General features: G+C 38.6%; 1 protein-coding gene and 1 long non-coding RNA gene across 2 annotated transcripts, besides 1 other annotated feature; one reads left to right on the plus strand and one right to left on the minus strand.

Annotated features, from left to right (window-relative positions):
* On the minus strand, positions 8,479-10,920 carry KCNJ2-AS1 (KCNJ2 antisense RNA 1). Its single transcript, NR_036534.1, has one exon. It is a non-coding gene; the product is annotated as a KCNJ2 antisense RNA 1 (long non-coding RNA).
* Positions 10,646-11,105: a silencer, noted in NCBI's record as "silent region_8907". NCBI's record gives its function as "represses an Ori minimal core promoter by ATAC-STARR-seq in GM12878 lymphoblastoid cells {active_cell/tissue: GM12878}" and the evidence as "EXISTENCE:reporter gene assay evidence [ECO:0000049][PMID:35858748]".
* Positions 11,050-21,562, plus strand: KCNJ2 (potassium inwardly rectifying channel subfamily J member 2). The gene is made up of 2 exons (NM_000891.3): positions 11,050-11,219; positions 16,342-21,562. The coding sequence occupies exon 2, from the start codon at positions 16,558-16,560 to the stop codon at positions 17,839-17,841; it is 1,284 nt and encodes a 427-aa protein (NP_000882.1). The 5' UTR covers positions 11,050-11,219; positions 16,342-16,557; the 3' UTR covers positions 17,842-21,562.

Genomic DNA, 25,694 nt, shown 5'->3' on the forward strand with positions numbered 1-25,694 from the left:
GGAAATTATGAAATCGAGCCTGAATCCATAGACTCTCTTAAATTCTCCTGTGAGAAAATTTTTGCTTGGTTCGAGGGGGTCTTCAGTGGAATTAGGGGTAAAACCTTTTGTATGAGAGATCTCCAGTTTCTAAGTTGTTTGAAAGGGGCTGCAGGTCAGGCTGCCTTCTGATGGAGACTCGGAGGGGTTCAGGAGACAGGAGCGAGCACAGAACATCTGTCAATGCTTAGAGCTCTTTCTTTTTTTCTTTGGTTTTATGTCATGACCTGTAACTCAACTCACAGAGAATTGCTTTCCATTATGGAGAAATAATTCCAACAATGATTTTTTTTTCTTGCTGACTGGATTGTCTCACCCTGTGGGGGTATGGCTTGGTTTTATATTATCAGGCATGTTTGGTGCTTTTTCTGTGTGTTGCTTTGATAGGCAACGCTTTTCAGCGGAGGCTGTGGCTCGAATCATGCAGGTCTTGAGCTGTATTTTCAGAGATGAACCCAGTGCTAAATCGTGGTAGTAATATAATTCACAGCACTCTGCGTGGATCACCGGCTATTTTGGGGTCCCAATCCCCTTTATGTAGGACTTGAAATAATGTACGGACTATGGAGAGAAAAAAAAGGAACAAAGGCAAGCAATGCTTAAGGAAAGAAGATAGAATACAGGGAGGAGTAAACTCATTTCTGTTTAATTCACTTAGAGAAGAGCATTGATTCATTTTGAACCCAGGATTAAAATGACTTGTATAAATTTCCATTATACTGTCTGGATTTTGAAACTATGGATACGGCATTGGGGACTAAACCTGTTGGGCTAAATGATACTTTGATCAGGTAGATGTTCAGATTGCTTCTGAAAAAAAATTTAAATAATATGTGCATTGTCTTTTAGTCTAAGGGAACTGCTTAAATTATGTGTACTTAGCTCATGTTTTACTGACATGTTGAAGCTGTTTAGCCTTACAGCTTTACAGATTGTTCTACTTTTCAAAAATACTGAGAGTTGCCAGTGTCTATTTTGAATGTTTCATATTTTAGTGCATAATAAATATGTGTGTAATGAGTGAATAGGTGACTTTTTAAATTGCAAAATGTAACTGGACTCTAAATACCATAAAATCAAGATCATGAAGGCAGGTTATGAGAAAGAGTCTTAGAACTGACCACAGCTCTTCTGTTAGAACTAAGCAACTGCAAATCAAATCTTAGCCCTCTTCATCTTTTGATAAGGTTTTTGGATGTGTCATCATTGGGTCAACAGATATAATTGTATATGTGCATGTGTCTGTATGTGTGTGCCTGCATGTTCATATACTTTTTGAATTTGCTTTCTGCCAACTAAACTATTAAGTATATACCTTCCTTAGCTTAATCTGTGCAAAGAAGGCATTGTATTTTTATATAAAAATAATATACAGTAAAAGCAATAGCTTTGGACTTTGATAGGTAGGACATATTATTTTTCAAGGTTTTTTTTTAAAGCATTCTTACACATGCTAACACATAAAAGAGGTTTAACCTCAGTAAATGGGAAAGCTGGCTCTCCTAATTAATTTTTTCCCAAGTTGACTTAAACAGGCAAAATGTGAGTATTCACATGTTTCTGTTTACATGCAGGGAAATGGCAATCAGATTACAAAAAAAAAAAAGCTTATTTATACTGTCAGTTCCTGCCTTACTAAAACTTGGTGACTCAGTTATGCAAACCATACAAAAGAATAGACTTTTGTATTACTACACGTTTTGAAATGAGATCTTTGCTGATAAAAAGATCAGAAGCTGAAACACTGGTGATATAGTTTAAGTCTATGATATAAATTCAGAGTTGCTCTATCGCTAATCCTAGAAACAATTTCTGAAAACATTTGCTTATAATAGTAATTCATTTAAATTTATTTAACACTTAAAATGAATTGTATGTAGCTCAAATCCAAATGATGCAGATGAAATGTCTGGATTTGAGCCTAATAGGTACATTAAAAAATCTAATTAAGCACCTATTTTTTTTCAACCTTATAATTTCTGCTTTAATGGCAATCAAGTTAAAAAAATGTACAGTTCCACTTAGTCATACCATTCCTTTATAAAAGGCAGATTTCAAGTAAACTTCTAAATGCACATATAATGTAGAAACTAATATTTTCTGACAGTCCTTGGTTCCTGAAAGTTGAACTTCATCATATGTGTTTTAAACTTTTGTCAAAATAGTTATGAAAGATATGTTACTTTTGCATTATGAGGTAATTTATTAGGGGCGGGAACTCATAAGACAGTATAAATCCACTTGTCTAAACTTGCATGAGGCTGTGTGCATTGTAAAATGTCACAAAGAGTTTTGGGTCAGTGAATATTTTGCTGAAGGAACAACGCTTACTTTTAACTGAGTACTTTTCTGCAATAAATAGCAAAGTAGGTTTTTGTAGCTGTAAACTGTGTACACAGATAACTACAGGCTAGTCTGTCATGGAGCTAAAAGTTTCACCTGAAAACTTGCATTTTCTTTTAATAGTCATAATGCTATGAATATTATTGTGCTATCATAAATCACTAATGTTATTGGTAGTAGTTGGGTACAGCATTTCATTTTTGCATAGTTGCAATACAAATTTTATTTATTTGTAATTTATACACTAGGACATTGAATATTAAAACATAAATTTCTTGGAACACTGAAATTAAATCTCGATTGAGGATAAGTGCCTACAGAATGGAAACTGGTCAATGATAAAGGAAACATTCAATTAAACCTGTAGATACTGATCAAATTTATTTTTAAAGTGGAAGAAACTCTTAGACAGAGAACCATGAAAATTGAGCCAAGCATTTGGAATTTGGTCCTGCATAAGGAGCAAAAATTCAAATTTCATATATTTTAGAGTTAGGAAAGAAATAATGTGGAGGATATGTAGGGGAGAATTAGAAAGTGGCTTTGAAAAATAGAGGTCTTATTTTAGGTTTCTAGATTTGTCTGAGCAGAGATGCTAGGAAAAGTTATACTCTGCAGAAAACAGAGGAATAAACATTGAATTTGATATCAGCAGGCTAGGAGTCCACACGTATAGGTCCCATTCACATGAAGAGATGGAACATAATTTCTATATCTCTATTTCCTTTTAAATAAAAATTGGAATGTTGGAAATCATATTAAGAAAACAAAAATGGAAGCAAAGATAAGATGGTAGGGCTGCATCCAGAGGCAATGGATGAAGAAATGACAGTTTGATTAATGTTCCAACAGCCTTGTTGACACATCTTATCCTTCTGCTCAGTCATCTGTAGATCTCTCCCTGTGTAAAGAATCCAAGTGTCAACTCAAGATCTTTGTCTTGAAAGACTAAAATCTGGTCCAAGTTTAATGTTCAATCTTAATATTTCTTTAAATACCTTTATGAATTTATTCAAATTCTGATCATCAATTGTGAAATCCATTTTACTTTTTTCTCTGTTTCATGCCAACCTGTACTATCAAATATAGAACTAATATGTTGCTAAGTTCCTCAGATGCTTACCTCTCCATTTATGACTTTAGCACTTATTCAAGCACTACAGAAAATTCTGTTACTTATTTATAGACTTATTGTATGCATGCCTTATTATCCTAGCTAACATGTTTGATTTATTCACTTTATCATTCTCATCATCATTAGTGGCAGTAGCAATAGTGACAGAATAAAAAGATACCTTTGATTAGTTGATCACAAAGTGTTAGGCATTTTACATATATTATTTCTAATTCCTATTACAATCTTTCACGACTAGTAAGTGGCAGGTTGCAAACACATGTCAAGTTGACCCAAAGCTCAACCTCTCCCCACTGGGCAATACTGCCACTAGTGAAGTCACATAATTTAGAACATCCTTGAGATTCAATCCATTGAGATTTTGTTAGAAAGAACTGCATTAAAAAAAAGAAAAAAAAAAAACCTTTAAGAGTTCATAAGCTTTGACCTAGTAATTGTACATCTAGAAATCGATAATGAAAGGAGAAAAATATGAAGATAAAAAATCTCCAAGGCCAGGCAAATGCATACTTATAAGGGTAAAAAACAAAAAAAAAATGAATATAAAGGTATAAGGATAGGTGACAATTAATTATAGTTCATAAAATATATGTGAGCATTAAAATATATACTTTCAAATAATTTTTAGTTGCATGACAGATGCTTGCATAATATAAAAAGTGTGATGCTCATGCACTAAAAGTATGACACAATTGATCTTAAAATTACAGAGGCTAGGCGCAGTGGCTCATGCCTATAATCCCAGCACTTTGGGAGGCTGAGTTTGAGGATCGCTTGAGGTCAGGAGTTTGAGACCAGCCTGGTCAATATAGTGAGACCCCATCATTAAAAAAAAAAAAAAAACCCAATATGTTAATTTTTAAAAGTTATAAAACATAGACTTAAAAATAGAAACAGAAATAGAGGAAAAGGAGAAAGATATATCAAAGTATTTATAATGGTTATCTTTCAATGGTAGGAATATGAATTTATATTATTTTCCACATTTATCTACATTCTTCTACATTTTCAAATGCTTATCTTTTACATTTTCCAAAATAGACATACATCATTGTAGCAATGATTTTTAAAAATACCAAAAAATACTCTTTAAAAAAACCCACAAATTCTTAAATTTATTTTTTTTTATTTTTTATTTTTTATTATACTTTAAGTTTTAGGGTACATGTGCACATTGTGCAGGTTAGTTACATATGTATACACGTGCCATGCTGGTGCGCTGCACCCACTAACTCGTCATCTAGCATTAGGTATATCTCCCAATGCTATCCCTCCCCCCTCCCCCCACCCCACCACAGTCCCCAGAGTGTGATATTCCCCTTCCTGTGTCCATGTGATCTCATTGTTCAGTTCCCACCTATGGGTGAGAATATGCGGTGTTTGGTTTTTTGATCTTGCGACAGTTTACTGAGAATGATGATTTCCAATTTCATCCATGTCCCTACAAAGGACATGAACTCATCATTTTTTATGGCTGCAGAGTGTTCCATGGAAGTCAGTGTGGCGATTCCTCAGGGATCTAGAACTAGAAATACCATTTGACCCAGCCATCCCATTACTGGGTATATACCCAAATGACTATAAATCATGCTGCTATAAAGACACATGCACACGTATGTTTATTGCGGCATTATTCACAATAGCAAAGACTTGGAACCAACCCAAATGTCCAACAATGATAGACTAGATTAAGAAAATGTGGCACATATACACCATGGAAAACCCACAAATTCTTAAAGCCCACATCTGAAAATCTAGACATTCAAGTATGTACATTTTCTTTCAAGAGTATCATTACAGGCCGGGCGCGGTGGCTCACGCCTGTAATCCCAGCACTTTGGGAGGCCGAGGCGGGCGGATCACGAGGTCAGGAGATCGAGACCATCCCGGCTAAAACGGTGAAACCCCGTCTCTACTAAAAATACAAAAAATTAGCCGGGCGTAGTGGCGGGCGCCTGTAGTCCCAGCTACTTGGGAGGCTGAGGCAGGAGAATGGCGTGAACCCGGGAGGCGGAGCTTGCAGTGAGCCGAGATCCCGCCACTGCGCTCCAGCCTGGGCGACAGAGCGAGACTCCGTCTCAAAAAAAAAAAAAAAAAAAAAAAAAAAAAAAAAAAAAAAGAGTATCATTACAGTGTTGTTGACGTTACTGAAAATATGTTTTGCATTTTCCTCGTAGCTTGTGGCATATTCCATAAATATCTACAATAGTGATTAGTTTTGGCTGTCTGAAGTTTGTGTTGTTTGTTTTAATTTTTTGTTTTGTTTTTATAAGTTCTGGAAAAAGTCAAGTTGCATGACTCTCATGATCTTCCAAAGATGTATTACTAAAGCAAAGAGACATTCTTACAGGTGTTTTAAACATGAGATTCAGTTTGCTAATGGTGGCACCTCTCACTGGAAAGCATTTCTTACTGTGCTGTAGAGGGTGACTATGGATGCTGGTGGCAGTCTCACTTTCCCTAGTGGCTACTGAACGTGTTTGTGTCTCCTTTAGAACCAATAGTTTCTAATGAATATTTTCTAGTCTCCTCTACTTCCTCCTTCCTTCCTATCTTCCCTCTCTTCATTATTTTCCCATGCAAATGTACGTGCAATACAGAACATCAGAATAGCACATCCTGTAAAGCACAAAAGCAGTGTTTGTTTCCTGGAAAACCCTCCGTAGAGGCTAGCTTATTATTAGTCTTCTTATTACTGCTTGATTACTATGATTAAATGATGATACTACACCCTTCCAGTTATAAGGCTTGCCTTTCCCCAGTGGCAGTGATGAGTCTGTGCATAATGATTGATGTTTTCTCAGCTGGCACCTCTTCTAACCAATGACGTGCACTTACGGCAAGGCTACCTGATCTAAGGAACTGCCATCCGTGGTTATAGAGGGTAAACCGAGGCTGTAAACTCATTACCTTTGGGAGACCTAATGTATCCCAGAAAACACAGATGAAATGATCATTGTAATCACTGAATCAAGAAACATAGTAATGTAGGGTCTGGCCCTAAAATGAATATGGTATTTTCAGAGTGTAATTGTCTCACTCATGTGAGATAAATGAAGTCTTCCAGAGCATGACAGAATAGGTAATTTACTAAATAATAACATGGAGGCTCTGGAAGTGTGAGCTTCTTAAAGAACAGCCCCACTTATTGATTTTGGTTTTAACATATTTGATGGAAAATAAAGGTCATAATAATAAACGGATAAAGTAAGCACTGAAATATTTTCTCAATACATCAGTACATGATTTTATGTGTACATATAAACATATGGATAGTTGCAAACACGCGGGTATCTCACTTACTCAGAAGTTTTCCTCAGCTATTTATAACAGCAAATACAAAGACTAAGCCATTTAAATGCTCTGAGAAGCAAAATAGATGCCATAAATCCAAATCCTGAAGCTTTTTTACCCAAAAAGGAGGTTGACCAAGCGAAGGTAACTCCAAATTCAGCATCTGCTCATACTATTTCAAAAATGCATCTTTAGATATGTTAAATCATATTTGCTTGTACATTACTTTAGCAACCTTGGTTACATAATTTATCAGCCCAGCACAGATTAGAATCAACAAATTAGGCAGAGCATGGTGACAGTCTGACAGATTCAAGGCACATTATCAGAAGCAAAAATGAGAACGGAAGGCTCACATTGATGGAGAAGGGAAAACAAGCAGAAGGGCTTAAATAAGCTTAGTCTAGGGTCATTTAATGCAGGAGAAAAGGCTCTACTGTAACCTGATAGGCCTACTGTATTGCAGGTAAAAAATGAAATAGCTTATGTTTATTATAATCATATTGAGTAATCATCAAAAGTTATACTAAAACATACTGTTCCTTTCATTCATTTCCATGTAACTGACATTTATTCTTAGAAACAACTTATAATTCATATGCTTGATTACCTGTATATAGAAAGGTCTGGGGCATAGCAGGCATTTAAGAAATTAACTGAATGAGGAGCCACTCCTATCTTCTGACGTGTTCTCAGCATCCTTAATACCACTACACATAGTAATATGTCATATGTATTAAATCTTCCATTACAAAGTCTTACCCTGCTTCATTCCATTCTTCAAAATCTAAGATTATCGTTTTATTTGTTGCTTGATCCATTTTAGTGCATAATCATAAGCTGCCTTATATTGTTGTTTAATCATTTAAATGTTTCACTTCTGCCTTGTTCATCTTCTCAGTTAGACATTTTGAACTCTTAAGAAGAGGAATTACTCCCGCTAGGACACTTCTGTCTTTCATCTCACCTAGCATATAGCCAAAGTACAACGTAGTTATTTCAACAAATACGTTCACTGAATTTAAAAATATGAAGATTAAATATTATCAATGCAGTAAGTGAAACTAAAGGCCAAAACTGTTTTCCAATAAATAAGATTACATACAGTGCCTTAAAATACCACAGTAAGTGGCTTGTTCTCATAGCAGCAGATTGCAAACTCAGCCTGTCTACATTTCCGGGCAATCTGACAATGATTTATTTACTATTTATTGCTAATGATGATTACTTTGAAGATTAGAAAGTGGTTTTTAATATCCAGTGGATACAAATGCCAGGAGCGTTTGATGTTTTACCATTGTGAATTTGAACTGCATATACATGGTTAATGTAAGTCTGAAAGTATGTCTAATTGTTGGGGATCTTTATATAAATGCAAAGGAAAGATCTGTGCTTCTAGTGAAACAATCACCTTCTGCGTCACACAGCTATTCACAATCTGACTGCAGATCCAGATTGTGACTAATATTTGGCTCTAATATTATAGGTGGTTACCGTGGAGAGAATCAGTAAGAGCATAATTGTCATTTCCTTGGAAAAATTTAATCCACAGATGGATCCCAACACCCAATTGCATTCGTGTCCAAGACTAATGGGGATTTTTGCTAAATAAGGCCTGATTCAGCCAAAAAAGATAGACTCTGAATACAGAAATCTGCATCACGCATCACTTCAAAAGATGTATTAAATCAAACACTGAAAGCATTGGCACACAGAATTTTCCTAATAGGGACATGATGAAAAGTCATTTATTAATTAAAATGCATTTATATTTTCTTTTTTTAAAATGAAGCAATGGGGGTATTCTACGCTACCATACATTTACAAAATTTCATTTGCAAAATTTCATCCTTCATACTTCCTTATTTAGCTAATTAAGGTAATGATTCTACTTAGATTGGAAAGTTCTAATTAAAATCATTAATTTTTCCCGAACCTTCTCCTTCAAGATCTAAGCTTTGCTGCACATCCTTCAGTCTTTGGGAGGAGAGAATGTTGGGGGATGTGCTGCTGATAATTGATGAGAGAGAGCAGGATACATTTATTATGACCTTCCTCCCGCTGCCCAGCTAAATTTATACAGCCAACCATAATCTAATAACTCTGTGTTCCTTTCTTTAAAGATTTTCCTATCATATGAAACTATTTCGGCCTGTGGTGTATTCTTTCTAATTAGAGTAGAATACTAAAGCAAAACCATTTCAATCCAAGTTGCATAAAAATGCCATCCCTTTCCGAGTGACTGGTTTTCAAAGCGAGCTCATTACCTGGAAAAACAACAACAACAAAAGTGTTGCCTCTCTGAATTCACGTGGTTTGGAAAATTCTTAGCCATCTACAGATGCACCAACTGAATCATAATAAAGAAGAGAAAATCTATAAATGATTAATTTCCTTTTTCTATTTAGGCTTAACATGTTTTAAGGGATAATTAAACTTTTGGCCTGTTTCTTAGAAGTCCAGGAGGAAGCATATTTCAGAAGAAGCTTATTGAACTGAGCGGTGAACTCATTCATTATCCTTTGGTTAATACAGAGTGAACTTGTCTACCCTCAGGTTCATTTAGCTTTAGGCTACAGCCTAGATTCTTAGACATCCGTCTATTTTACAGTATTAATTCAAGCTGTTTATAAATAACACATGACTAAATAGATGTTAAAGAAGACCTCCCTTGGGGCAGGCATTATTCCCACGTGCATGGCAACAGAGTTCGTAACAGGGCTTGGTGAACAGTATAATCTCAACACATTAACTGGGACCACATCGCCATTTGGCTATCAGAGCAGCCACACCGAGTGCATCATCTCTTGCACACCCTTTTAATTTAAGTACCTTGCTCAGTGCTAAGAAAAAAGGCACACTTGTTAAGGCAGGAGTAAGTGCGGATCTGCGAAACCTAAGCAAGCATATTTCACCAGCACCTCCTAGGGGCCACGTGTGGATATGAGGATGGGAGGTGGGGACTCGCACAGAACCTTTCCTTGAATTGTCAGTTTCACCTCTCCTACACACAAAAATCCACCCCGACTGCGCCGTCCACAATACCAGCTAGTTTGCTGAATTAGTTCAGCGACTCAAGGAGGCCTTACGAGGTTTAAATAAACTGCACAAAAGACACATTTGATCGCTCGAGAAAATAAACATTTAAAAAACTCAGTGGAAAGAAAGACTCCTAAAATATATCCTGTCCTTTAGGAGCAAAGCTTCGTTAGGACACCGAAGTACTCAGAAATAATAGGCACTTACTCTTCGGTTTACACACACACACACACACACACACACGGATTAGTTTATAAAGTTCCAGGATCCAGACCCGGTTAACACTGAAGTTGCTTTTTAGGGGTCTGCGCGCTCTCGCCTGGCTGCTGGGAAGGAGGGCTGGGAGGCGCTGAAGCGAGGGCAGATCTGAGTGTCTGTAGGAGTTGCTATTCCAAAAAAAATCATTACTCTCTAATTGTTCTGATTTTAGATCAGCAAAGCGTGCCGGGCGGTGGTGGAGAGACTGAGGGCGGACAAGGCGAGAGGGAACGAGCCGTCCACCCTTCGGAGAAGCCTAGGCGCCTTGTAAGTAATTCGCGAACAGTCGGGAGAACAAACAGCCAAGCGGCGCTGCAGTGGCCGCACTTGCGCGCGTCTCAATCCTGGGGGCTCTGCGCGCCCGCCCCAGTCCCTCGCCCCATTGACTCAGTGGCTTCTCCGGGCGCTGCAGCCTCCGCGGGGGGCTTCGAAGGGCCGAGGGGCTCCGGCAGAGAGGGAGTGGAGAGGGAGACGCGCCGGGACCGACGAACAATCCTGCCCCTGCGGCAAAGGTCTCTACCCGGCGCTGGCACCTCGCAGGCCCCTCGAGGAGCACGCAGGGCAAGCGGCCCAAGAGCGGGGGAACCGGGAAGTGTGTGGGGCTCCAGACGGAGTAGGAAGCTTTGCCCAAGGCCAGGCTGCAATCAGGCAGCCGCAACAGCCGGGCGCGGAGCTTCCCACCTGCTGCTGTCCCAGCTGGGCCGCAACTTCCTCCTCCCCGGCCCGGGCCCGACTCCCCGGCCGGGCTCCGAGGGTGGAGGGGGACGAGGCGGCGGCAGGTTCCCTCCGCTGGCAACGCCTCGCAGCATCCTCCCCTCCCCGCCGCGGTTCCCGGGGCCGGCCGCGCGGCCAGGCGCGCTGCGATTGGCCGGCAGCGGCCGGGGGCGGGGCCAGGAGAGCCGGTGTCGCACGGACCGCCTCAAAAGAGCCCAGGATATTGCAGAGCGCACTGGAGCCCTGGCCAGCGCGCAGCCTTCCCGGCGCCGGCGGGCTGGGTCTTGGGAATTCTGGTTTGCTTTGGCTCACTCGCTTTTTACAAACCACTGGATCTTACATGCCTCTGTACCCCCCACTTCCACTCCATGTCCCCATGCTCCTGCGCCAGCAACAGGTAAGGGCTGCTGTGTTTTCTTCCTTTTCGCTCGCTGCCGGTGTGTCCTGGGGAATGGACTCTGGCCGCCGTCCCCTACCCTACCCTGCCCCGCTGCTCCAGAGGTGCCCAGCTGTCACACTGCTGTAGCGCTCACCCACACTCCGGAGTCCCAGATCATGCCTATATAGTTTGTGTGCGCACCAGAACATCCCCAGAGCTAAAAATACTGAGACATGCTTGGAACAGTTGAGCAATAGAAACAGATTTCTCTGCAGCATCTGTTTGTGCTCATAACTTCCAATGCACCAGCTGTAGCGAGATACTGGGTTTGGAGGCAAGGGCGAGAGCGTCTGTGTTCGGTTCTCACTCTAAGTGGGGAAAAAAAGAAAGAAAACGTGGTTGCGGGTTTGGGGGTGCGTCTTGAGCCCTGGTCTTAAACCTTGGCAAAGCTTGGGACTCAGCACTATTCTTGATCCTTGGCTTTTTTTTTTTTTCGTCATTGCTTCAAGTATAGCTGTGAGTTTCAAACAGAGTGAGTGTCTCAAAGTTGCCTTCCTGAAAGAAGAGCGGGAGCCCGAGTTGGATTTGAGCCTGAGGATCGCAAAACTTTCACATTACATATCACTCTCCCCTAACCAATTTGTTATTTTCAGTAATAATGGTATTAATACCTGGCTTGAAGACAGTGTGGTTTTAGGAAAGCAAAATAGTCAAAACGACTTGATTCTGCAAAAAGATTGCATCATAGCGTGGATTCATCATGACAATTGGAAAAAAAATAGGGATAGGGAATGGGCAGTTTAATGTCTGTGTCTGGGTAAGGATATCATAGGATGATCACTAGGATAAAAGGCTGTGAATTCCGACGATTTTCATAAATTCAGATTTTACCTGTTAGGAAATAAGGTGTTATTTGAAAACCTCGGATATGCAAAGAAACCATATTGCGTTTTATCATTTGTTTTCTTTTCACATTAATAATCAATAGGCTGCCAGATTTCCTCTCGCCAACCAATGTTGTGTGTCTGCTGTACATTATCTGTACACTTGTTAGCGTTTTCCTGCTCACTTCCAAATGTTTCATTTCTATTTGCCATTATCTGGAAAAATCCTGGTGCTCAGAAGGGGTAAGAGATGTTAATTGAAGCATGGTGGAAAGGGTGAGGATAAGGTCAAGGCCATTTTACTTAGCTTCCTCCTCTCTCATATTTTAATGACACTTTATTTTTTAATGTTCTTGGTCTCCATAAGAAATATTTGATCTAAACTCATGTGAATTTTGCTTTTAAAAAAAATAAAAGAACACAGTCTTTCTACATCCTTTGGATTCCTGAGTTGTAGAATCTCTGGTTAGCTGTAGCGTCCTTGTATGACTTTTGCGTAGCCTGAAAGATTGAAAACAGCTACCTGCACAGATTAAGTGTTTCAGATTTTTTTAAGTGTATATTTTTATTTACCAAACATGTCTGTTTTTCAGCGTATGCAAATGCTGAGCAGTGCTACAAGCCAAGTGTCGTTGAGTATAAATGTTAGACAGGGGGCTCACACGTAGATAGATGGGTATCCCCCTCCCCTCCCCACTTCCCCCTCCTCCTCCCTCATGTTTATTGAGCTTCTAAGAGGCTGCTTTCCTAGCAGTTGTGCTCACATAGCAACATGTGCCCAGAGCACACTCAGGCTGTTCTATATGGCGTCAGCTGGGGAATAGCTGCTCTAAACACTCATTAGCAGACCTCTCTCTCAGCCCAGTACGTTTTCTTTTGCTATCTTTATTTCCTATCCTTAGAAACTTTCTTATTTATTGCACACCATGACCATATTACAGGACACATTTACTCTCATTTGATTTTTTTTTTTAGTTATTTATAAGCCATATTGGAAGTATTACCTATATAGTCAAAGCAATTTAGATCCCCCATTTGTACCATGTGATCTCCTTGACCTTACATTTATCCATAGCTCTTTCTCCTTTAACATCTACCTAAGTTTAAAACGCTGAACTATTTTTTTCCATTGCTTATGCTTAATTTTGGCTCAGCCTATAAATAGTCTTAACATGAACAGCACCACATGTAACCTCTCAATTTCCCAAAAATACTTTCTACATCATGGGTTATGGCCTGGATAAAAATGATTATTTGTGTCCATGAAATTTACATCTAGACCCTTAAATATTTTGGCTGGAAGGGAGATTTACACATTGTTCATCAAATCAAATTTCAATTCTCTGGATTTGTATCACTTAGTGTTCTCATCTACTCCTCATTGATTGCATCTCAAACATTATTTTGAATATATGCTTGAAATAAAGTTGCATGTAAGCCCTGTTTTTTTAATGATAGCTTTTCTCAGCTGCTCACGAATTGGTAATTGCTAGTGAGAGGACCGGGCAAGGAAGTTTTCTGCTTGCTTAAAGTCGCTCAGGCATGTGGGCAGGTTAACAGTAAAAGCAATTTTTACCATGAAATATTAAGACCGTTACCCCATCAAACCTTGACAGGTTCTAGACTTTAGCTATGTAATCAGCTCCACAAAAAGTCTGCATACATATATGTGTGTGCACCTGCATACACACATAAATCTGTTTGGGGGCATATCTATTTAAAGTGGCAAAAGTTTTCTTTTTGCCAAAAAAAAAAAAAAAAAAAAAAAAAGCCCAAAACTCCTCTTTTTCTCTTTCCAGGAAGAAATGGTAAAATTTCTAAATGATGCTCCACATGTGGAACAAATTCTGTTATTAGCAATGGAAATAAGACAATAATAGTCTCTCAATACAGGCTACTTTCAAGATTCTAAATGTGGAAAGCTATTCATAGGAAGCTGGTATTGTGTGATTTGTGGAATTCAAACAAATGTCCTGGGGTCAAGATTTTTGGAAAGTCATAATTCAGTCTTTAGATTTCATATGGTTGTTATGTTTTAATCTGGAAGGAGTACAGAAATAAGTCAGAAGAAATTTGAGACTGTCTACTCATGGCCCCTAATGGTAACTCACATGGAAGGATTGTTTTGAATCATGAAAAGGGAATTTCTTGGTGTCAGCTTATAATACAAAGTTCTGAAGTCAATCAGAACTCAAAAATACAAAGCATTCATTGAATGAAGTTCTTCTCCTTTTTTTGAAACGTATACCTGCGTTTGGTGTTGTTGCTGTCTCTGTCTGTTTAGTAATGTGAGAAAACTAAGATGAAATAATTGCTTAAAAAATGCTGTCCATGTACAGGATCTAGAACTTCGAGGGGCAGGATTCTTGTTTCTTTGGTCCAAGTGCAAACTTCACAGGGAAGCAGACAAAACATTGAAGCAGGTGGAAGGTTAGGAAAGCACAGTAACTTCTTTTTATAAAGTAATTCAAAGGCACTTTCAAACTGAGCATCATTTAGGTGTCAAAAGCTGCCAAAATGTAACACACATTGCAATTTTCAAAGATGACTAATCTCAGGAAAAATGTGTTGGGGCACATTCTTGCATAATAACTTGGATAAAGAAGAAGTCAAAAGACAGTAACAAGGCATTTTCAAAGGCAATGCACCTTGCCTCTTCTTAAGGGAATGCACAAAAACAACATAAATGGATTGCTTTATTTGTTTGCGGCTGGCTTGGCTGATATCGGTTCTATTAACTGTTTAATCTTAATGGATTTAGAGGAGAAGGAAAAAGTGGAGTCTTCATTATCAGGCATCAACAAATTTCTGACTCTTTTCATGAGTTATTCATTGCCCCCCTTTAATATAGCAGAAGGATTTGGTTGTATGAAAAGTTGAAGATGGGCTTTATTTTTCAGTTCTAACTCTTATTAGTTTTGTTATTACACATTTGGTAAAGAAAACACCTTAGACTTTCTCTTAGCTTTTTGTTAGTTAGTCAAGGGAAATAGTTTCTTAGGAGTGAAGATGGAAAGTTGAAGTACATAGATAGTTCTTAGCTAGGGAAGACTGAGGCAATAGGAGAAAACTGAGAACTACTATTTGCACATATTAAGTAAAGGTGAGTGCCTTCTCCATAGGAACCTATACCAAATAACAGCGCTGGAAGTGAAAGTAAGCGGACTGGCATTTATGATCTGTCCTTACACAGTTGTCTCTGTCTGAGAGAACACAGCACTGGACTCACATGAAATGAGTTCCTGCCTTATCTCAATCCGCTAAAGACCTGGTCCTTTGGCACAACGGTGCTTACTTCCTAGCCTGTCATTACACATGACAGCCCCATCTCAGGAGAATTTCAGGGCTCTTATTGCTAGGCAACAGAATTGCTCTCTATCCCCCAGAGCAAACCTGCATCTTCAGAGTCTTCAAGCCAGAATTACCTGTACTAATAGAGACTTAGCAGGCATTTCTGCATAGTGGTTGCTTAAAGTGTGAGAAGTGATGAAGCAAGCCCAAACAGTATCCAGAAACTGGGATCCATTTCAGATTATTATAAGCAATAGGGGCAGTATTCACCATCGTAGGAGGTTTTGTCCACTAGTTCCCTCTATTTTCAGGATACACACTCAGTCAAGCCTACTCCAAAATCCACTTCACTATTCTATTTGTAGGTGGGAATCTGACTTTCTTCCTCTAGCATTTCGTCAGCCTATCCGGTCTGCTCAGTTATATCATTTAAACAAAATAGTCTGTCTTCCGATTTCAACCTTGCCATCAGGGACTCTAATATTCTCCCGTAATGCACATGCAACTCAGTGGATATCAATGCTGCGTCCACGTGAAGTTTTCTAAACATGTCCTTTTTCCAAAAATTTTACGACAAACCTTGGAATCAGACAGTCTTTCATCTGCTTAACAGGGATCCTAGCAAGTGGGGCAGGCAGAAGAAGAGAATAAGAGAAGGGAGAGGTAGACCTGAACAATAGAATATTCTAGATCCCTGGCCAAAAAGAAGGGAAAGGGGACCTGACCTGACATTTTGGTTGAACAACTGTCACAGACAACTCTTCTATGTTTAACGACTTTATGCTTTTAAATAAAAGTTTTACAAAGCATGCTTAGGATACAAAGAAATTTAAAACCTTATAATTTAATGTAAATTATACTTATCTTTACCTGATTATGTGTTTTTGTTAGGATATATTGTCTTAGACAGTAGAATTCTTTAAGAGTGGCTTATTTTGTAATGCACAGTCTCTCTTTTCTTGCAGGACATGTTCTCTGGATGTCAGCTGAGTCATTAAAGTAACTCTGCATGTCAGTAGACAGACCTTGGTAGAACCACAAGGCTCCCAGAGACACCCATCTCTCCTCATTTTTTTGGTGTGTGTGTCTTCACCGAACATTCAAAACTGTTTCTCCAAAGCGTTTTGCAAAAACTCAGACTGTTTTCCAAAGCAGAAGCACTGGAGTCCCCAGCAGAAGCGATGGGCAGTGTGCGAACCAACCGCTACAGCATCGTCTCTTCAGAAGAAGACGGTATGAAGTTGGCCACCATGGCAGTTGCAAATGGCTTTGGGAACGGGAAGAGTAAAGTCCACACCCGACAACAGTGCAGGAGCCGCTTTGTGAAGAAAGATGGCCACTGTAATGTTCAGTTCATCAATGTGGGTGAGAAGGGGCAACGGTACCTCGCAGACATCTTCACCACGTGTGTGGACATTCGCTGGCGGTGGATGCTGGTTATCTTCTGCCTGGCTTTCGTCCTGTCATGGCTGTTTTTTGGCTGTGTGTTTTGGTTGATAGCTCTGCTCCATGGGGACCTGGATGCATCCAAAGAGGGCAAAGCTTGTGTGTCCGAGGTCAACAGCTTCACGGCTGCCTTCCTCTTCTCCATTGAGACCCAGACAACCATAGGCTATGGTTTCAGATGTGTCACGGATGAATGCCCAATTGCTGTTTTCATGGTGGTGTTCCAGTCAATCGTGGGCTGCATCATCGATGCTTTCATCATTGGCGCAGTCATGGCCAAGATGGCAAAGCCAAAGAAGAGAAACGAGACTCTTGTCTTCAGTCACAATGCCGTGATTGCCATGAGAGACGGCAAGCTGTGTTTGATGTGGCGAGTGGGCAATCTTCGGAAAAGCCACTTGGTGGAAGCTCATGTTCGAGCACAGCTCCTCAAATCCAGAATTACTTCTGAAGGGGAGTATATCCCTCTGGATCAAATAGACATCAATGTTGGGTTTGACAGTGGAATCGATCGTATATTTCTGGTGTCCCCAATCACTATAGTCCATGAAATAGATGAAGACAGTCCTTTATATGATTTGAGTAAACAGGACATTGACAACGCAGACTTTGAAATCGTGGTCATACTGGAAGGCATGGTGGAAGCCACTGCCATGACGACACAGTGCCGTAGCTCTTATCTAGCAAATGAAATCCTGTGGGGCCACCGCTATGAGCCTGTGCTCTTTGAAGAGAAGCACTACTACAAAGTGGACTATTCCAGGTTCCACAAAACTTACGAAGTCCCCAACACTCCCCTTTGTAGTGCCAGAGACTTAGCAGAAAAGAAATATATCCTCTCAAATGCAAATTCATTTTGCTATGAAAATGAAGTTGCCCTCACAAGCAAAGAGGAAGACGACAGTGAAAATGGAGTTCCAGAAAGCACTAGTACGGACACGCCCCCTGACATAGACCTTCACAACCAGGCAAGTGTACCTCTAGAGCCCAGGCCCTTACGGCGAGAGTCGGAGATATGACTGACTGATTCCTTCTCTGGAATAGTTACTTTACAACACGGTCTGTTGGTCAGAGGCCCAAAACAGTTATACAGATGACGGTACTGGTCAAGATGGGTCAAGCAAGCGGCCACAAGGGACTGAGGCAAGCACAATGGTTTCAAAGAAAGACTGTAAGCTCCATGATTAGCATAAAGCACTAACCATGTCTCCATGTGACCCGATGGCACATAGATGTTGTAGAATAAGTTATGGGTTTTTATGTTTTGTTTTGTGTTTTTCCAAAACTTGAACTTGCAGGCAAGCCTTGGTTGGGTATTTGATTTATCCAGAATGCTTCTCTTTAGGGAACAAGGATGTTTTTAATGGCATAACAAAGGCAAGACTCTGCCTTAATTTTTGAAAAGCTGCTAACTACATGAACACAAATGTGTATTTTTGTTGCAGTGTAGTTTTCCTTTTGTGTAATTTTAAAGTCAGTGTTGAATTTTATTGAAAGCTCATGATGCGCTTCAAAGTGGCAAGTATTTGGCTATTAACTGCCAAAACAAGAGCCTGATTTTTTGAGGCCAGTAATTCGTTTGCTAGAATTGATTTTTTTTCTCTCTCTCTTTGTTACATAAGGGCATTATGTAACACTAGCCGAATGGTAGCCTCTGGGTTGTTGTTTTTTTCTTTTCCTCCATGATGTTAATGGGTTATCTCAAATTTTAAGTTAAACTACCTAAAATAAATACCAAAGATAATGCATATTTTTGCACAGTGGAGCTTACACTTAAAAGAAAACAAAGCCCCATGGGCTGCCTTGAAATCAAGAGACAATAACTTTGAACCTCAGCAAGACCTTGAACCGCCGGTTCATTTTGCACCTTATTCAGAAAATAGAGCATCATACTCACCGAGTCTAGTCAGTGTAGTGCTTTTAAAAATTTTGTCCTTTCATGTAACTTTTTTATTTTAAGAGGAAGAAGAAGAAAGGGGCACACACACACAATACCGACGTCTATCCTTTCCTGCTAGGCAGTGCTGGCCAGGCTCATGTGTAGTGTGCGAGATGGTGATGTACTCTTATATTTTTCTGGGCTTTTCCTTTTGCACATTCCAAAATTCATTTCATAAGACAAGATCTTCATAGGACCTCCTTGGCATCCTGGCATTCTCAAAACTGAGCCATCCAGCATGAAAGATAAATGGGTTTAAACCCTTGCTGCTGAATTTATTGCCTGGACTGTCAGGACATCACCAGCCCACCTTCACCTTAGGGAAGATGCCACACCTGGCCTCCACACTTGCTCTTCTGATCAGTCTGTCTGGATTGAGTCCTACAGTGTCAGATAGGGCGGCAAATGCCAAAGCAGGGAAACAGGGAGGTGTGGACAAGCCAGTTTGATGCAGCACTTCAGATCAAGTGCTTAGGAAGGAGAGGAAACTTGCCTTTTTTATGGCAGAGGATAGTAATGAAAATGTCTCAGTATTTTAGGGTCAATGAGAGCCATAAAAATATAACATAATCACAAGTAAAGGAGATAATGGTCTAAAACAGCTATTTCCCTTTTCTGTGTGCATACTTATGACTGAATGTGAGCTAAGCATTTTCTCCTGTGGAGCCCTAGAGCAGGTTACTAAGGAAGGACACATTGTTTTCCAGAAGCCTCCCCTGCCTGGCTGACTGCCTTGCTAGAAACATAATTTTTTTTTTCTCACTGAAGCTCAATAATGGAACTCTTTTTTTTTTTTTTTTTAATTTAAAGTTCCCTATTTGTGAATTCTGGGATTACTGACTTTTCTTTTTAATTGGAGTCTCAAAATCAACTCTCTTATGGTATTATATCTCTGTATGCCATTAAAAAACAGCTTGTTCTAGAATCATGTATTTTGTAAACTGATGTTTGTGATGGTCTCTGGTTCTTGAACAGCCATATCTGAATGCCGTGCCTGCAAAACTATGACAATTTTTGCTGTTTTCAGCCTTCAGATTTGATGGCTTGGGAAACTGAGGTGTTATTTTCAATGAAACAAAGAAAGAGATGTTAAGCAAGTGGTTGTTTTAGATCCAAATGTAAAGGCAGGTTTGGGAAGGTGTTTAAAGAGTTGGAGGAATTGGGGATTGAGTTGTAAAGAAAACTTACAGAAGAGGCAACAATTTGGTTCTTGACAGTGAGAGGATATTGAGGGCTTCAGCTGCTGCTATTATGATGTTTTGCAAAGGAAAATAATCAAACCAAAGAGTATTCAGTGATATGTAAATTAAATGAAGATACAGTGGAGAATGGGGGTGACCACAAAAGAGGCTCCCCCTAAACACACAGTGCTGCCACTTAAAAAGACTTGAGAAATTTGAAAGGGGGTGGGTATGGGGGGGGCAAGAAAGAGGGAGGGAAATCTTTCAACTTATTTCTGAAAAAGAGAAAAAAATATAAAATTTCTGGTGCACAGGTTTGTTTTTTCAAGAAAATTTTGCAGAAGCTATGTTTTTAAAGTGTACATTTTATAAAGTTTATCAGATATTTTCATATTTAAAGCCAAATGTAAATAGAGGTCTGTAAAGAAAAATAATTGCCATAGAAAGTATAATTTCAGTGCAGTAATTTCTGAGAGCTAGTACCTATATGCTACCGGTTAGCATGGTTTTAGCAAATATATACCAGCCTTATAAGGTTCGTATTGCTATGTTCTTCTGTTATTTATTTCAGCATGGACTGTTCATTTGAAACCTTTTTCTAGTTATTAGCGTTTTAACAGTTACAAGCTTTAAATGGCAATTTTTTTTTTTTTTTTTTTTTTTTTTTTTTTTTTGTCAAGAGCCAAGACACAGGTAATGCACGACATTGATTGCTGCATTTTACCTTCAAAATATTTGTCCTTATTGACTGGGTCTCCTTAATTAATGTACACATGTCATTAGAATGCAGACGGAGGGGACTCACCATGAATATCTGGGGTTGATTCCCAGATGTGTGTTGCTTCTCTATTGCAAGCAGATTCCCTGTTGGATTTACTTCGGATTTATTCCCTTTTAAAGAATTTTTGCCCATATCTGGAAGGGCACTATATTTTTGGGAGGAGCCATAGATTCCTGGTTATCCTATTTTTAAACAAAATGTAGACAAAGTGAACTCTATTTTGATTATTGAGAAAGGAGTAGTTTTCTATCCCTCTAAGAGTATACTTGAATCAGACATTTTAAGGATGTCACTATGGCACTGTTGTCATTTCCAAATTCCTAGAAAAGTTTGTTTTACTTTGTTTTTATTCTGTTAATGCATTCTTTCTTCTCTTTACTTCCTTTCTTACCAGTACACTCCTATCTCAACTCTGTTTATTTGATGAGTTCTGTCCCGTAAATCATATTTCCCTTACAATTAATAAATGTCACTTCATATTTTATAATAAACCACTCAGTAAAAGCAAAAGCTTGTCCTGAGAAGTAGAGTGAGTTCTTTTTCACTCTGTGTCTAATAATGTTAAGGTGGGAAAAAAAAAAGTGTGGCATAGCTACCTGCCCATCCCCAACCCTCAGCAAAGTAGAATCTCTTTTCTGGTAATTTTGGGTTTCCGCTCTGGGCTCTGGCAAGTTGAACAATCCTAGCCATTGACAATCGTGATAGTTATTATTTTCCCATTTGCTGTCTTTTTGTATCTAAAGTCTTCCTATTGTACTGCACAAACCATGGATTGTACATATTTTTATATATTATGTCTTATTTTATTATTTCTAAATAAAAAAATTAAAAATTGAAAACAAATTCTTGGAAGAATCTTTGGGCTTCCCGTATGATTACTCTAGAAACACCATAAAGCAAATGTTCCCAAACAATGGAACATAAACCCTGATAGGTTAGATGCATAGAGCCATAGAAATGGCCTCAACAGACAGGTGCAGTGGGGTGACAGATTAGTTTAATTCAAGTTAGAGGAAGTCAAGCTCATATTTTGTTTTTGGATAGAATAGGCTAGGTAGAAAGGGAATACAAAAGACCAATAAACAAGCCAAAAAAAAAAAAAAACTAAGAAAAATATTATCAAGTTTAGATTTTGCTTCTCTCTTTAATGGGTGATAAGGTGTAGTTGCTCTTTATCGAGCCTCAACTATGTGTAGAGTTCTTGCATTACATATTATTTTTATCTCATTCCCACAGAAACCAAATCAGGATATTATTATTTTGTATTATAGACTAAGACTTGGCAAATAAGTTCTGTAAAGGGCCAGGCAGTAAGTATTTTTTGGCTTTATGAACCAGAGGGTCTTTGTCTCAACTATGCAAATTCAGCCTTGTAATGTGAAAGCAGTTACAGACAATATGAAAACAAATGGTATGGCTGTGTTTCAAAACAATTTTACTAACATCTACAGCCAGTGGGCTAGATTTGGCTTATGGCCAGTAGTGTGTTGACCCCTGTTTTGGGTGAAGAAACTGAGTATGAATTTTAAAGCTAATGAATCAGTGAGGTAGTATTTGGATTCTGGTTTTACCTGCATCTAAACCTAGTTTTATCCATTAAACTATATATCATTTCAGGTCACAAAGCTACCAAGGATATGTAGTCCCGCCACTTTCTCTGGCAAATTTGAAATAAATAAATGTTTCTCAAGGTTGGAAATACGGAGAAAATTTGCATTCTAAAATATGGGTTGCACCTTGCTCTTTTTTCTTTAACTAATATGGCAATTATTATTTATGTTTCAAATATGACTCTAAGTCCTTTCTAAGTACTAAATAATTTAGTCTTAACAGCAAGTCTATGGAATAGGCTGTATTATTATCCTCATTTAAGAAATGAAGAAACTAAGGCTCAGAGAGGTTAAGCACCTTGTCCAAGTACATATGGGAATTATTAGTGCTGAGATTCAAACTGAGGCCATTCAATACTAGGCTGTGCTTTTTGTGACTACTCTATGCGCTTTCTTTTTGTACATATTCTTGGTAAAAGCTTCACCATTTAAGACCTTTCTGCTTTTCAGTTTTTATCCTTTTCGGTAATGAAAATACATCCTTTTTGTTTGCACAGCATACGTTAGTGCAGAATTCTTGCCTCGTTCATAACTCATTCCTAAATTCCTCATTTAATGTTTGGTGAGAGAGAACAACTTACAAGGAGTAGAGTAATTACAAACACTGGTTGTGGGATTTGGGTAAATTTCAAACTTAAGATTAATTTCAATTAACAAGGAATTGTTTAGGTCTGTCTCCAGGCGAAACCACAAAGTTCTGTTACTAACCAAGCTGCAGGAACCCGACCACATCCACACTTTTGCTTTCTGCCCATGGTAGGCAGCCAAAGGTGTAACACAATCCTCTGGGCAATTGAGATAATTAAGCCAGACCGGTTATGGTAACGCCAGGCAGTGAGTTGCATGCTATACAGGCCTCTATTTTTTATTTTATTAAATACGTATACAAAAAGAAAAGGCAGGGGTGGAATTTCAGAGTCCTTTTGCTTGGACTGTCTTTTGAGTGACAAGTGAGGCAAGACCTCCAAGCTCTAGCCTTCAGAAGCAGCAGCTTCCCAGGTCATACTTGCAAAGAAAAAAACAAATTTCCATCTAGAAATATTCATTTTCAAGCTAGCAAAACTGATTAAATGAATCGTATTTGTTTGCCCAAATTTGAGTGAGTGAATAAATGCATAAATGAATAAAGGATGGCTAGCTCTATGTCCTTTAAATGAAGTAAAGAACCAAGTCCGTGATCAGCTTATTTCAGGACCTCAGTGTTTCTTCAGGATATTTCAGACCATGGAGCTAAGTGACCTAATGATTAGTCACTATCTGAGGGTTGTTATAATGATTTTATAAAAAGAGAAATATCTAATTACAAGGTAGTACCTGCAAAGCACAAGTAGAATAAGAATATCAGAGTGCCTGGCTTAGGAACTGGGTGTCCAACTGTCCTGATTTGCCTGGGACTCAGGGATTTTCTAGCGTGCAAGACTTTCAGTGCTGAAACTGGAAAAGCTCTGGGCAAACCAGGGGAGTTGGTCATCCTCCTTTGGAAAGTAGAGAAGTAGAATGGCTGGGGGAAAGGGGAAGACCCAGTAGATAAGAATTCGCAAGGGAGGAATTGAAGCAAGGTAAACCAGAGGCAGCACGTGAGTGTTACTAAACAGAATAATAATGGTGAATAATTACTTAGGAAGTGGCTCTCTCCAACTAACTGAAATTTGTCACCTCAAGGGCATTTTTTTTGTTTTGGAGGAATGGTTTTCTAAAATATTATACAATTATCTGCCTTATTCAAAAGATGATATATATTATTTAACATTTCCTTATGTGACTCAAGCTAATATGTGCACCTCTTTCTGATGGGATATGCTTTTTAATCTTTTTTTATCACGAAACCAGCAGCTAATATTTTGTCCACTGCCAGAAGTCCCCTAGTGCTAGTTTGTTTTCTGCTTCTTATTCTCTGGGTCAAATAAATCAGATCAACCCATTATGATATAGATTATTGTATCATATATGTCATAGCATATATGATGAGTTTATCATATATCGTCATATCATATATAATATAGATTATCAGAGAGGATATCACATAATCCTCTATGACTAATATCATACGTAATAGCAGGGAGGTTCAGAAGGCCCAGAGGAGACACAAATGACCTGGCTTCTGCGCAGGTTTTATATTCATTGTACTGATTTTCGGAGATCTTTTTTATTTCAGGTTTGAGATTATATTCGGAGAGGTTGAGGCCATTAAGGAATTTGACTTTAGAAAATTCTATTCAACTCAACCAAAAATTTGTTAAGCGATTATAATGTAATACTGGGCACTCAGAGTTTTCTTTATGGACTTGGTCTCCAATCAGTCACAACTTAGAAAATGGGTGGTATGGTTATATATTTATTTTGTCTTAAAAACTAAGAAAAGTAACTGGGTTTTAGATATAAAAAGTTTGTATAGAACAGTAACTACCAATTACTGAGTACTTAGGATCTATTAGGCACTGTACAGACACACTGTTCTTTTCCTCCATGTGTGGACATCTTCATTTGGAAGATTAAATATCTTTGCAGGGAGGTCACTGTGGATTCAAGTGTTTTTGAAACACCCTATTGGGAATCGTTTTCAGTGCACCTCATTTAAATATTTTATTTGTGACAAAATTTTTTATAACTTTTTGGTTAAGGTTAAATTCTATGTTTAGAAAAATCCAGAACTCAATCAGAACCACATTTAAGTGACAAAGTTGGATAATTAAGATCGCAAATATCATGTCCTACAAAACAATCAATGAGTGACTATAAAGAACATGTAATTAGTGAGATGGTTTGGTTGTTTAATTGTCAATGGTTCTGATTTGGCTCAAATGACCCAGGAGGCTTTACAAAATATGCTGCACCGGGAGAGTGGACTTGGATTAAGTAAGCAACCTTCTGCTATGATAACTTGGAAGGACATCTCAAATGTCTATAAATAATCTTACCTGGCTTAAAAAACTCCTTTCTCTCTCTCTCTCTCTCTCTCTCTCTCTCGCTTTCTTTCCCTCTCACTTTCTTTTCTAATTCATGATGGTAACTTCTACCTTTTGTTTTGATTTTTACCCTTGAATTCTAGATAAACTATCTGCAAACGTTCACATTAATGTGGAAGTTTGGTGAGACAAACCTGTTTTCTCAACTTCATAATATCTTAAAATTAAAATATGTAAGACCTTTAAAATATAATACATACCATTTTCTTCCCCTCCTAGCCTCCTTCTAGCCACTTCTCTTGAAACCATTTGCCATATATCAGTAACAGTAACCTTAAAATCAACTTAGTTAAAAAACAACTATTTACAAACATAATACTTGTATAGACACACAGTCATAATCAGAAGACATCACTTTATAATCTATATTTTTTTACTCTTACAATGGAAATTCT

Source organism: Homo sapiens, chromosome 17, assembly GCF_000001405.40.
Source record: "Homo sapiens chromosome 17, GRCh38.p14 Primary Assembly".
Classification (NCBI taxonomy): Eukaryota; Metazoa; Chordata; class Mammalia; order Primates; family Hominidae; genus Homo; species Homo sapiens.

Bases quoted from the DNA above. Each gene is read 5' to 3' on its own strand.
- KCNJ2 (NM_000891.3), top strand. From the start codon at position 16,558: ATGGGCAGTGTGCGAACCAACCGCTACAGCATCGTCTCTTCAGAAGAA.